Source organism: Homo sapiens, chromosome 18, assembly GCF_000001405.40.
Source record: "Homo sapiens chromosome 18, GRCh38.p14 Primary Assembly".
NCBI classification, from domain to species: domain Eukaryota; kingdom Metazoa; phylum Chordata; class Mammalia; order Primates; family Hominidae; genus Homo; species Homo sapiens.
In genome coordinates, this window is record NC_000018.10 from 36,925,060 (window position 1) to 36,940,352 (window position 15,293).

Sequence of the window (15,293 nt, forward strand, 5' to 3'; positions counted from 1 at the left end):
CATATGTAAAATGATAATACACCATGGTGTTTTTATTATAAAGATTATGTATGGTAATATGAGAGAAAGTATTTTGTAAACTCTGTAAAGTTTTTTGGAAGTTTACAGAATTGTGATTAGTTTTTTTGTGAAATCTCTATATAATTTAAGGTAAGGAAATGGGAGGGAGGATTTTAGGTAAAAACAGAAGATAATAAAGATATATAATGGCAGAATACTACGGATTCTGGAGGACCCACTGGAATTATATGAACAGTGGAGATATGAGCCAAGAAAGAAGAAGGGCTGAGCTGACTGAGGAAAAGAAATAGAATATTGGTGTTTTGTAGACCATGAATTGAATACCTTCTTCCTGGGCAGATCTAGAATACACTAAACAAATTTGGAACCTTTTCTTTTTCTCTTTTTGTACAGTATAAACAGATCATTGTTGAAACTAATTACATTAGTTACATTTTAGCCTTCTTCAAAAAAATTTGGTTCTTTTTTTTTTTTGAGATGGGATCTCACTCTGTTGCCCAGCCTGGAGTGCAGTGGTGCCATCAATGGCTCACTGCAACCTCAACCTCCTGGGCTCAAGCAATCCTCGCACCTCAGCCTGCTAAGTAGCTGGGACTACAGGTGCATGCCACCATGCCTGGCCAATTTTTAATTTTTTTTTTAGAGATGGGGTCTCCGTCTTTTGCCCAGACTGGTCTCAAACTCTTGGCCACAAGTGATCCTTCCACCTCAGCCTCCCGAAGTGCTTGGATTACAGGCGTAAGCCATCGTGCCCAGCCTGGGTCTTCTTATATATTTCTTACAAATGTCTTCTTTGGAGCCCTTAATTTTGCAGGTAGTATTTATTTCATCTAGTTTCTTCTCTTTCTCCTCCTCTCTTCTCCAACCCCCTTTCCACTTTGATTTCTTCTTTTTTTAGGAGTTATCTCAACTTTTTTTTTTCTTAGTATTGTTTTGTTGTTCTCTGAAACCTTCAGATTTTGTAACTTTTGAGTGCAGGTCTTCTGAGAATGGGGCTTTATAGACATTTTCATGTTTAGTTTACTATGACGCAAGCTTCTTGTTCGAAAGGGTTAAGTTTCTTGGGTGCTAATTGATTGGAGGAAGGATAGATTATCTGTGAAATTGGGAATATTTATAGTCTATGCAAGAATAATTTATAATTCTTATTTCTACATACCTGGCTATCATGCCTTCCTCAGCCTCCAGAGATGTAATCTCTAATAGCAGATGGCAGCACCAGGCAACTTTGTGTTATTAATGGGAAAGAGGAAAACTGGTTTCACTCACTTTCTTCCTTTTTCTTTCTCTATCTCTCTCTCTCTATTTATTTATTTATTTATTTATTTATTTATTTATTTTTGGAAAGAACACCACAGAGGTTCAGTACCATTCTCACACATCGTATCAGGGTCACATGATACCCACAAGGTACTGGTGATACTAACTTTGATCACTTGGTTTAAGTAGTATTTTCCAGGTTTCTCCACTGTAGTGTTATTTTTCCCTTTCCATACTCTACCCTTCAGGTGAAGTAACTAAGTCTAAACCACTCTCTGGAGTAGAAGATAGGTATTAAGGTCCACCTCCTAAAGGCAGAGAATGTTCATATATATTTGAAATTCTTCTATACAACATTTATATCTTCTCTTTCATTTTACTAATTTATTTTTAAGCTACTGTGCAATACAGGGTGGGTGTGTGTTAGACCATTCTTGCATTGCTATAAAGGAATACTTGAGGCTAGGTAATTTGCAAAGAAAAGACGTGTAATTGGCGCATGGTTCTGCATGCTTTATAGGAAGCATTGTCCCGGCATCTGCTTCTTCTAAGGGCCTCAGGAAGCTTACAGTCATGGCAGAAGGTGATGGGGAGCCAGGACGGCACCTGGCAAGAGTGGAAGCAACAGCGACAATGGGGAGGTCCCAAACTCTTTTAAACAACAAGATCTCTGCAAACTGAGAGATAACTCATCACCAAAGGGATTGTTGCTAAGCCATTTATGAGGGATCTGCCCCCATGATTCATTTACCTCCCACCAGGCTCCACCTTCAACATTGGGAATCACATTTTAACATGAGATTTGGAGGGGACAAATATCCAACCATATCAGCATAAAAGGGTCAGTAATGTAACAATGTTGGTTTTTCAGGTGTGACAAATATACCATGGTAATGTAAGATACTAATGATAGAGAAAACTGAATAAGGGTATATGGGAACTGTCTGTAGTATCTTTGCAACTTTTTTGTTATGTCTAAAATGATTCTAAAATAAAAAGCTTATTAAAATAATCATAGCACTATGGCATAATTGTTACTTAGAGAATGAGCAGGAACAATTTGGTAATAGTAATAACTTTTTCCTTGATATGATTATTTTCACTGTGCTTTAAGGGAAGAAAGAAGCCAGATGCACTGGCTCACGCCTGTCATTTCAACACTTTGGAAGGCTGCTACAGGCAGATCACTTGAGCTCAGGTGTTCGAGACTAGTCTGGGCAATAGGGCGAAACTTCATCTCTACAAAAAAAAATTTTTTTAAAATTAACTGGGCATGGTGGTGTGTGCCTGTAGTCCCAGCTATTTGGGAGGTTGAGGTGGGAGAATTACCTGAGCCTGAGAGGTTGAGGCTGCCATGAGCTGAGTTGTGATCATGCCACTGCATTCCACCCGGGGTGACAGAGTGAGACCCTGTCTCAAATAAAGAAAGAAAAAAAGAAAGAAATGAGTGGGGTGGAAGGAAGAGAGAGAGAGGAAAGAAAAAGAAAGAAAGGAAAGAAGGAAGGGAGGGAGGAAACAAGGAAAGAAAGAAAGAGAAAAAGAGAAAAGAGAGAGAAAGAGAAAAAGAAAGGGAAGAGAGAAGTTGTCCCGGATGGGAGTGCCCTCGTAAGAACAAGTGGGTGTAATTCAACACAGAAATACATATATATAATACTTAAAGCCCAGATTTTCTATGGCGTAGAAAGCATTTATCTGATTTAGAAAGAAATGTGTAATCTGTGCTAATATTTACTGCCAACCCCAACCCCAGTAGGGATATAGGTAGTTTCTGTTTTTTTTATTTTTTTTATATCAGTGTTGCTTTCTGTTTTAAGAGCATAGACTGGGCAGAATGTGTATGTGAGTATGGTGGTGGTGATAGTGCTGGCAATATATTAATTATTGCTGTCTATGGTGCCTTATTGGGATGAAGATAAAGGTCTTGACCCCTTTGGGTGTGGAAATGGCAGAATGGGCTAGTGATTAAGAGTATGGACTCTGGTGTGACACTGCTGGAATTCAAGTCCTGGTTCTATGGCTTCTAACTCTGTGATCCTGAGTAATTTACTTGACTTTATTGTATCTCAGTTTTTTCATCTGTAAAATGAAAATAATTGTACCTCTGGGTTTTCGTGACACTTAGAACAGTGTCTGGTATATTAGTGATTAGTAAGTACAATATCTGTTGTTGCTTTTATTGTTTGTAGTTTTCAAGTCTCACAAATGTGAAATATTGTTGCCATTGGGGGGGATACACTTTTGTTTTAGTACTTCAAAAATTTTTTGATGTCTTTAACATTTTCTCTTTGGCTTTGGTTTTCAGCAATCTAACTATGGTATGTATAGGGGTGAGAGAGAGAGAGAGAATGTGTGTGAGTGTGTGCGCACGCATGTGCACACATGCATGCATTTATCCTGCTTGAAGTTCTTTGAGCTTCTTTGGTCTGTGTTGTTGTGTTTCACTAATTTTGTAAAGTTAATAACCATTATCTCTTCTGCCCCCTTCTCTCACTGTGTCTTTCTGAAAATCCAACTATATGTTTGATATGTTTCCACAGATCTGTGATAGTCTGTTATTCTTATTTTCTTTGTGTTTCATTTTGGGTAATTTCTGCTGCCTTAATTTCAAGTTCTTATATTCTTTCCCATACTGTATCCAGCTTCTGATAAGGCTGTCAAAGAAATGTTTATTTCTTATGTTGTGTTCTTTCAGGCATTTCCATTTGATTCTTATTAATACAGCTTCCTTTTGCTGAAATTCCCCATCTGTTCATGCATGTGCCCATCTTTTTCACTAAATACTTTAATTATCTTAAAGTTCCCTTTAGCTAATTCCAGTGTCTCAGTCATGTCTTAATCTACTTTTGTTGACTAGTTTCTATCTTGAATATTGATGGAATTTCCACCCTCCCTGTACCCCGGCTTTTGTTTCTTTTCTTTTTCCTTAACATTTACTTTAATGTCTGACATTGTATTAAAGAACTGCAGACACTGAGATAGGTCATATTTATGCTCAGAAATGGGCACCTCTCTTCTATCAGGTAGGCATTTAGTGTGTGGTTTGAGTTATTCTAGTCAATAGTTGAAGTGAATTTCAGTTTTATTGTTAATTGTAGTTGCCTTCAATGTACCTGACTTTGAATTTCTCTAGTGGTGGGCTTCTGCCACCTTGTACTTAGCATGGGCCCTGGAGTACTGACGGGTTTTACTAGTGTTTTTGTCCCTGGTCATAGGTAGGTGTTATGCACTGAATATTAGTGTCCCCCTAAATTTCATATTTTGGAATCTTATCCCCCATTGTTTTATTAGGAGGAAGGCCTTTTGGGAGGTAATTAGGTCTTGAGGATGGAGCACTCATTTAGTGTCCTTATAAAAGAGGCTCCAGGAAGCTCTCTAGCCCTCTTTCTCTGATGTGGAAATATAGGGCCTAGTTAGCAGTCTGCAGCCTGGAAGAGGCTCCTCACCAGAACCCAACCATGCTGGCACCCTGATCCTGGACTTCCAGCTGCCAGAACTGTGAGAAATAAATGTCTGTTGTTTGTAAGCCACCCGGGTCTATGGTAGTTTGTTGTAGCAGTCCAAACTGTGTAAGACAGTTGGGTGGTAGTGTTTTCTGACCTTTTCTTAGTAGTTTCAGCCTTTGCTTTCTACGAGAGAAGGATCTAAGATGTGGGCAGAGTTTTGTACACATGTACTACTGAGAAGGACTCTCAGGCCTGTTGTCCTACCTTCATTATTTCTTGTAAGCCACTGGTAGAGACCTGTGAGAAAGATCTAGTGAGACAGTACATACTTCTCTTGTGTTTGTTGCTCCCAGAAATGTCTAAACTGTCACAGTAGCTCCCACTTAGCCTTCAAGAATTAGTTGAAAATTTCAGCTGTTTTATTCATATCTGCCTTTAATGGCCTTTTCTTCCTCAGGGTTTCAGGTTCTGCATTCTGCATTCTGCATTCTGTCCTGTCTCTCTCTCCTTAGAATGGCATATCATCCTTTGGAATTCAGTTTACCTGATTGCCTTGTAACCACAACTTTCCTATGGGTCCAAAAATGTTACCAGTAATTTAGCAGATTATCTGGCTCTCATTGTTACCGTGGAAGCAACATTCTTTTGAGACTTTCTGTATTCTAAACAGCACAGGCCTCCCTTCTTATGACATATTTTTATAGGTGAGTTAAATAGTTTTAAGAAGAAATACTTCATATTTATACAACTGTCTGTTCTCATTTTGAATTTAGCAATAGTAGTTTTAAAAATAATGGTAGCAATACATGAATGGATAGGAGTATATTCTTTAATGGGCATTTTGATTCTTACAAAGATGGTTATAAAATGTGCTGTTGTAATAAGGTTAGCTGTGCATCATAATGCTTTGATTCTGTAGTCTTAGAACAACTGGTCTCCTACTGTGCTCCAAAGTAGATCCTAGTTACAGGATCTACTTTGTAATTATTTTTCTGTCTTTTGATTAAATTAGATAAAAGTAATGTCCACTCATTTTTGCCCTAATTCTTCTTATATTTAAATATGAAATGAAAAAAGAGCACATCATTCCAACATGAATCTGAATATTATGGGCATTAGTGCTATAATAATTCCATAGCAACTAATAATAATTGTAATTATTAAAGTGAACATTTTTCTTTCTGAGCTTAGGGCTCTACTTTTTGCCTTAGTTTCCAGTTTTTCTTACCTACTGTCTTTATGTTATGTCATTCAGTATATTCCTCCATTGATTGTGCATAGGGCAGTCACTAGGACTGTCACTGTGGATTTCCTCTTGCTTTTACTCAGCATCAATCCAATGAAAAGCAAACAAACAGGCAAAAAACTCCCAAACAATAAAGAAATCTTTTGGCTCCAATTTGGATTTATAAAGAGAATCTAGGTCAGGGGTCCCCAGCCCCTGGGCTGCAGACCAGTACTGGTTAGTGACCTGTTAGGAACCTGGCTGCACAGCAGGAGATGAGAGCTGGTGAGCGAGCATTACTGCATGAGCTTTGCCTCCTGTCAGATCAGTGGCAGCATTAGATTATCATAGGAGTGCAAACCCTATTGTGAACTGTACACGCGAGGGATCTAGGTTGCATGCTCCTTAGGATAATCTAACTAATGCCTGATGATCTGAGGTGGAACAATTTCATCCCCAAACTGTTCCCCCGACCATACCACCCCACAATGTCTGTGGAAAAATTGTTTTCCATGAAACCGGTCCTTGATGCCAAAAAGCTTGGGGACTGCTGATCTAGGTATCTTGACCTTTTTCTCTGCAAGTAGTGAGAGAACTTATATTTCTAGTTAACCTCATTCTTAAGATTGCTTAGCACTATCATATATTTCAATTTTTTATTCATTTTAAATATGTGAAATATTAATTTACTCTCCAACTTTTATTTTAAACTAGATATAAAGTGGCCAGAAATGTACCATTTCACAATATTTTTGTTGTTTTTTGCTTTAGGGAATATATACTGTGATGCAAATTTTTGAAAATTACCAAGCTTAGCTATTTCATTTTTTTAATTTTTAGTTTTATTTGTTTTAACATTGAATAGTTTACTTATGCTTTATATGTTCTCTGTAAGAATGATTTTGCGCATAGAATTCTACCTTGCATAGTATATTTCACAGAAAGTATGATGTATAATTTAACAAAATCAGTTATAAAACAGGTAAACCATATGTACTTACATTTAATGGCCTTTTCCATACTTTCTATCAGTTTATTTTACATCTTCAAGGGAGCATAGAGAAAAAGATATATAATATGAACAAAATCAGTAAGTTTTCATTGAAAGTGAGCTTATAATGCTCCTGTCTTTATGACAAAGATCGTATTAGACACCTCAGTGATCATAAACGTTTCCAGTAGTCCATCTTTCAAATGAAAAAGTTTGAGATTTTATTTTATTTTATTTTTATTGGAATGGGTCTCACTCTGTCACCCAGGATGCAGTGTGGTGGCATGATCACAGCTCATTGCAGCCTCGACCTCCCTGGCTCAAAGAATCCTGCCTCAGCCCCACAAGTTGCTGGGACCAGAAGCCCATGCCACTGCACTCAGCTAATTTTTGTATTCTTTTGTAGAGACTGGGTTTTGTTATGTTGTTGAAAGCTAATCATGAAAACTCCTGGGGTCAAGCAATCCACCCACCTTAGCCTTCCAAAGTGCTGGGATTACAGACGTGAGCCTCTGTGCATGGCCAAGATTTTATTTAAGTATTTCCATAATTGACATTTATTATAATTACCTTGAAAGAGAAATGAAATTGAACAGTAAATGTGGGAAGGTAGCTCCATAGCATATGCAGAGCTACTTTTTGGATTGCTCCATAGCAAATCCTAAAGTCCCATTGTTCAGTCATATAAGAAGTCTCCAAAACTCTCAACTATTCAGGATCAATTTTCCTGCTAATTGATTATTATTTTATAAAGTAGATCTGTCACTGCTTGGTTTAAGCTTGGATTAAAAGACGCAGTGGGGTTTCTATCACTTCTCCATAGGCATCAGTACCTAATCTATTCAGCTGTTTATATATTAGTAAACAATGTTGTCTTCATGGTAGTTGGTAAGAAAAATAATAAAAACACAGATTTCAGGAAAGTTTACAATTAGCGGACACAAATACAAAAGGATGACGTTTTTTGAAAGTTAGTGTTCTTTAAACTTTGGCTTTGGTACCAAGAATTGCTCTGAGAAGAGACTTTCTTTTTTTGCCAAATACCTTGTCAATTCTGTAGCCCTAATCTCACCTTAATGATTTGCATTCAACACACATATATAGGACTAATGAATATTGACCCAATTTCTAAGGAAAACAAATAACAAATACATTGAAGGTCTCTTGTTATAAATATATACATATATTAAAATATAAATATAAATACATTTCTACATTTCTATAAACGTATATGTATCTATTTCTTAACTGTGTGGCTTTTGTATTTCCATGTGTTTGCAGCCCTGCTCTGTGGTGGTGGTGGTGGAGAGAGAGATAACCCCCTCACCAGATCTGCTCCCGGGCCTTGGTGGGGCCCCCTCCAATCAGTGGTGCTATGCTGTGCTGTGCTCAAGTTTCCTTTGTTAGGTGTTCCAGGCCACGGGGCCCTCTTGGGTAGATAACATGGCTAGTAGATGGGTCATATTTCTCAGACCAGCCCTGCACCTGGAGGCACACCCTCCTCCTGTGCCAGCCTACCACCTTGCACATTTCACCCTTCACAGTGTTTTGAAAGTAACTGAGTCCCAGCCACAGATCTCAGCTTGGCACTTCTGAGCTGCACAATGCAGCCCTGGGGTGCCAGGACCAGCCCACAGTTCTGTCCTCCACACCCTCTGGGTTGGGCACCAGCTGTTCTAGGGGATCCAGGGTGCTTCCTGGCCACTGAGAAAGTACTTAGATAGAGCTGCAGATAAAGCATCCAGGCTGGGCAGGGGAGGCTGCATTGTACACACGCTCCTGTGGAGCAGCCAGGCAGGGGCCTTGAGAGGGCTGTCAGTCAGGAGAGCCTACAGAACAGATGAACCCCAATCCAGTGGAAGCCAGCTTTGTTCTCTCTTGGCCTTGCAGTTGACTAGGGCTAGAGCTAACTGGGGAGATGGAGAACTTTGGGGGATAGGCGCCTGTGGCCATTTTACACTGCAGCTGCCCCGTGTGTAAAAGTCCCCGCATTTTGCACAGGTTGTACCTCTGTCTCTTCCTAACTCTCCAGGATGATCCCCCTACCAGTTCAGATATCTATGGGGGGTCATGGGATCTCTTGCAGCTAGGATCCCAGAGGTCTGCAGCAAGAGTGGACTGCCCATCTTTCCCTTCACTCACCGCTTAGGAGCCATTTAGGGCTGGGAACTAGCATCTGACAACCCTGTGCAGGCAGCTTCCTCCCTCCTCACTCTTGGTATCTGTGTCACCTCTCAACTCTTGATGTTTTCCTCTCTGGAAATTGGCTCAGAGTATGTTTGTTTACTCCATATTTTTTTCATATTTATTTTATTTTATTATTATTATATTTTCAGTTTTAGGGTACATGTGCACAATGTGCAGGTTAGTTACATATGTATACATGTGCCATGCTGGTGTGCTGCACCCATTAACTCGTCATTTAGCATTAGTCATATCTCCTAATGCTATCCCTCCCTCCTCCCTCCACCCCACAACAGTCCCCAGAGTGTGATGTTCCCCTTCCTGTGTCCATGTGTTCTCATTGTTCAATTCCCACCTATGAGTGAGAACATGCAGTGTTTGGTTTTTTGTCCTTGCGATAGTTTACTGAGAATGATGATTTCCAATTTCATCCATGTCCATTTGGTCTCCCTCAGTGGGAGCAGTGCTTCCAGGCTCTGTCTCATTGGCCATCGTCTCCCTCTCCTCTAAATTTTTTTTTAGTCTTTCTTTTCATATTACCATTTTTGTGAGACTAACTTTTACCCTTTGAAGGATAATTATTTCTTAATTTAATAAATGTAAGTTTAGAGGTGACAAAGACAAAGCTTGGAGAAAGGAAAAGTATTGTTGCTTCGTCTTTGTTACCTCTACATTTTCATTTGTTATGGCAGTATAAGATTTATAAGAAATATGTGCTTTTATTTACATATTGGTCCAAGTTAGGTCTCAAAGGGCAAATCACTTTAAAAACCAATCACTGTGATCTTAGACACTGTTGTCTTTCCAGAGACCACGTAATTCTTACTCATCATTTCTTCAATCTGTTTCTCTTGGAAACCCTGGGAAAGTTACAGCTATAGTCTTTTTAGTTCTCAGTTAGGCTAGAGCAAGGCTTGCCAAATTATCCAGGCTACTGCCTGATTTTGTAAGTAAAGTTTTCTTGGAATACAGCCACATTTATTTGATAACATACAGTCTCTGGCTACTTTGCACTGCAGTGGTAGACTTGAATGGTTGGTTACAGAAGGTGATGGCCTACTAAATCTTTCTAGACAGAATCTTTTGAGTAGAAATCAGCCACTGGAAATAAGATCTCTAAATCCTCCCTTTTTCCTCTTCTCCTTTTACCCTGATGTGAAGTCACTTAATAAAACAGCATATTTAGACCTCCTTTGGTATAAGCCTTTCAGCTTATGTCTTAAGTAACAAGGGCATTTTCCCCTGTCTGGTTAAAAGCTGCCCAAATTATGCCATTTTTTGCCATTCCAGATATCATATGGCCATTAATGCCTTATGCTATCATAAAACCATATAGTTGATGAGTGGGGATTTTGGCTTTTGTTTGGTTTTGGCTTTATATTAGTCTTTGTTTCACTCTTTTTGATGTTATTGTTGTTTTTATGGGGGTGGGGAGTGATCCTTTCATAGTATTCTTCATCATACAGACGTATTTGTGAGAAACAGATTAGGAAGGAAAAGGATGTATCCCTCAGTACTTTGCACTGCTTGTCCTAATTAAGCAGCCCACCTAGTCTGTGTTAAGTATATACTGTGTGTGTGTGTGCGCATATAAGGAGTTTGGGAGAGGTAACTTGAAAGAACAAAGGTCATTTGATCAAAGAATTCCTAGGTTCTTGGCATTTTAAATTATGTGGCAATTTGCATGTATTAATGAGATATAATAATGGGTGTCAGTAAAACTCTATTATAATTAGTCCTATCACGACAACTGTTATGAAGATGCTGTGATTAAGCCTTTCTTCTATGGATTTTAATTAAATATAGCCAGGATACTCAGCTTGTTGTGTTTATATACAACTAGGGAAGAAAATGTTAACTCTGCAGTTTTAAAAAATGTTTATCTAATTAATCAAATATGCCCTAGGCATGTGGCATAAATTTGTATTGCTAGGGTTTTTTCTTTTGTTTTTTATTGTTTAATTTTTTCCCTTTATTTCTTCTAAAAAAAAAATGGGATTCTTGTCCAGAACGTGAAGGTTTGTTACATAAGTATACGTGTGACATGGTGGTTTGCTGCACCTATCGACCCATCCTCTAAGTTCCCTCCCTTCACCACCCACCCCCAACAGGCCCTGGTGTGTGTTGTTCCCCTCTCTGTGTCCATGTGTTCTCATTGTGCAACTCCCACTTATGAGTGAGAACATGTGGTATTTGGTTTTCTGTTCCTGTGTTAGTTTGCTGAGGATGATGGCTTCCATCTTCATCCATGTCCCTGCAAAGGACATGATCTCATTCCTTTTTATGGCTGCATAGTATTCCATCATGTATATGTGCCACAATGCCTATCATTGACGGGCATTTGGGTTGGTTCCATGTCTTTGCTATTGTAAATAGTGCTGCAGTAAACATATATGTTCATGTGTCTTTATAGTAGAATGATTTATATTCCTTTGGATATATACCCAGTAATGGGATTGTTGGGTCAAATGGTATTTCTGGTTCTAGACCCTTGAGGAATCGCCATACCGTCTTTCACAATGGTTGAACTAATTTACATCCCTACCAACAGCATATAAGCTTTTCTATTTCTCCACAGCCTTGCCAACATCTGTTGTTTCCTGCCTTTGTAATAATCCCCATTCTGACTGGCATGAGATGGTGTCTTATAGTGGTTTTGATTTGCATTTCTCTTTTAAATTTCATATGGAATCAAAGAAGACACTGTATAGCCAAGATAATCCTAAGCAAAAAGAACAAAGCTGGCGGCATGATGCTACCTGACTTCAAACTATATACTACAAGGCTACAGTAACCAAAACAGTGTGATACTGATAGCAAAAACAGGCATATAAACCAATGGAGCAAAACAGAAACCTCAGAAATAACACCACACATCTACAACCATCTGATCTTCAACAAACCTGACAAAAACAATCAATGGGGAAAGGATCTCCTATTCAGTAAATGGTAATGGGAAAACTGGCTAGCCATATGCAGAAAACTGAAACTGGACCCCTTGCTTACACCCTATACAAAAATTAACTCAAGATGGATTAAAGACTTAAATGTAAAACCCCAAACCATAAAAACCCTAGAAGAAAACCTAGGCAATACCATTCAGGACATAGGCACGGGCAAAGACTTCATGACAAAAACGCCAAAAGCAATTGCAACAAAAGCCAAAATTGACAAATGGGATCTAATTAAACTAAAGAGCTTCTGCACAGCAAAGGAACTACCATCAGAGTGAACAAGCAACCTACAGAATGGGAGAAAATTTTTGCAATCTACCCATCCGACAAAGGTCTAATATCCAGAATTTACAAGGAACTTAAACAAATTTACAAGAAAAAAATCAACCCATCAAAAAGTGGGCAAAGGATATGAACAGACACTTCTCAAAAGAAGACATTCATATGTGGCCAACAAACATATGAATTGTTTAATTTTTAATTGACAAATAATAATTAAGAAGTATGTTTACATATACCTATTTTTTAATTGAGGTAATATACTACATTTACCATCCTTTCCATTTTTAAGTGTATAGTTCTGTAGTAATACTTACATTTATATCCTTTTTTTCCCTTCATTCCCACCTCCCCACTACCCCTTCACGGCCTCTGATAACCACTATTCTACTCTTTATCTTCATGAGATGTACTGTTTTAGCTCCCATATGTGAGAATGTGCAATATTGTCTTTCCATTCTTGGCTTATTTCACTTAACATATTGACCTTCAGTTTCATCTATGTTGCTGCAAATGGTAGAATTTCATTCTTTTTTATGGGTGATCAATATTCCATTCTGTATAGTATATATTTCTCATTTTCTTTGGTCACTTAGGTTGATTCTGTGTCTTGACTATTGTAGTAAATAGTGCTTTAATAAACATGGGTGTGCAGGTGTCTCTTCAGCACACTGATTGCAGTTCCTTTGGGTATATACCCAGAAGTGGGATTGCTGGAACACATAGCAATTCTATTTTTAATTTTCTGACGAACTTCCATACTGCTTTCCATAATGGCTCTGTTAATTTACATTCGCAAGAACAGTTCACACAGGATCCCTTTTCTCTATATCCTCACCAGCACTTGTTATCTTTCATCTTTTTGGTAATAGCCATTCTGAGGGGAACGAGGCAATACCTTATTGTTATTTTAATTTGCATTTCCCTGATGATTAGTGATGATGAGCATTTTGTCATTTATCTCTTGGCCATCTGTAGGTCTTCTTTTGAGAAAAGTCTATTTAGGTCCTTTGCCCATATTTTGATTGAGTTGTTTGCTTGCTATTGAGTTGTTTGAGTACCTTCTATTTTCTGGATATTTGCCTCTTATCAGATGTATGGTTTACAACTATTTTCTCCCAGTCTGTGGATAGTCTCATTACTCTGTTGTTTCCTTTCCTGTGCAGAAGCTTTGATGTAATCCCATTTGTCTATCTTTACTTTCGTTGCCTGTTCTTTTGATGTCAAATCCAGGAATTCACTGTCCTGACCAACAGAGAATTTCCTCTATGTTTTCTTCTAGTAGTTCTGTAGTTTTAGGATGTACATTTAAGTCTTTAATCCATTTTAATTTGATCTTTGTATATGGTGAGAGATAGTGGGTCTAGTGTCATTCTTCTGCATGTGGATATCCAGTATTCCCAATACCATTTATCGAAGAGACTCTGTTTTCATCATAGCGTATTCTTGGCACCTTTGCTGAAAATCAGTTGACCATAAATGCGTGGGTTTATTTTTTGGGTTTTCTATCCTATTCCATTGGTTAATGTGTTTGTTTTTGTTTTTATGCCAGTACCGTGCTGTTTTGATTACTCTTGCTTTGTAATAGATTCGAAGTCATACAGTGTTATGCCTCCAGCTTTGTTCTTGTTGCTCAAAACTTACTGTGGTTATTTGGGGTCTTTTGTAGTACAGATTTGGGGTGTTGTTTTTCCTATTTTTCTGTTTTTCGGAAAAATGACTTGGAATTTTGATAAAAATGGCACTGAATGTGTTGATCACTTTGGGTAGTATGAACATTTTAACAATATTAATTCTAATCCATGAACATGGGATACCTTTCCACTTATTTGTGTCATCGGCAATTTCCTCAATGTTTTATAATTTTTGGTATAACAGATATTTCACCTTCTTGGTTAAATTTATTCCTAAGTATTTTATTTTTTATTTTTTATGCTATTGTGAATAAGACTGGTTTCTTATTTTCTTTTTCGGATAGTTTGTTGTCAGTGTAAAGAAGTGTTACTGATTTTTGTGTATTGGTTTTGGGTTCTGCAATTTGACTGAATTCATTTATCAGCTCTAAATTTTTTTTGGTGGAGTTCTAAGGGTTTTCTAAATATAAGGTCATATCATCAGCAAACAAAAAATTTCACTTCTTCCTTTTCTATTTGGATGCCTTTTACTTTTTTTTCTTGTCTAATTGCTCTGGCTATAACTTCCAGCACTACGTTGAATAAAAGTGGTGTAGTGGTAATCTTTTTCTTGTTTCTGATCCTAGAGGAAAAGCATTTAACTTTTCACCATTGAGTATAATGTCAGCTGTGGGCTTTTCATATATGACCTTTATTGTGTTGAGGTACATGTTTTCTGTGCCTAATTTGTTGAGAGTTTTTACTATGAAAGGATGTTGAATATTGTCAAATGCCTTTTCTACATCTATTGAGATGATCACCACGGTTTTTATTGAACAAATGTCTGCTGTTTTACATGTATATATGAAAAAATATCTATTTTATATATTCTTTTATATATGTCTTTTTAGGAATTAACATTTAGACATATTTAGTCAATTTTATCTCAGATATCTTTTGAAAGAGAAATAGTTGAATTTTTTTATCCATTGTGTCCAAAGACACTGTATTCTAACAAGGTGGGAAAGACTGATAAAATGGCACATTTTAAAAAATGAACATTCCAGTTAATTTCTTATAAAAAGATATGACTTTGGAGACAGAAAAGCTGCTTTTCTTGACTTCAGAAGTGCAAGATGGGCAGAAATGGAACCTAGAATTTTGTCATAGTGGTTTAGACAGTGCTTGTTAACCAGTGCTCCTCAGGCTATAAGGTACACGTTAATCACCTGAGCAGCTTGATAAAATGCAGAATCGAATCCACATCTAGAGTGCGGCTCAGGATTTTGCATGTCTTAGAAGTTCCCAGATGATACCAGTGCT

The 15,293-nt window shown here is 37.8% G+C and overlaps 1 protein-coding gene across 19 annotated transcripts in view; it reads left to right on the forward strand.

Annotated features, from left to right (window-relative positions):
- KIAA1328 overlaps nt 1-15,293 on the forward strand; it is a 403,046-nt gene that overhangs the window by 95,933 nt on the left and 291,820 nt on the right. The gene's annotated exons all lie outside the window — the stretch shown is intronic.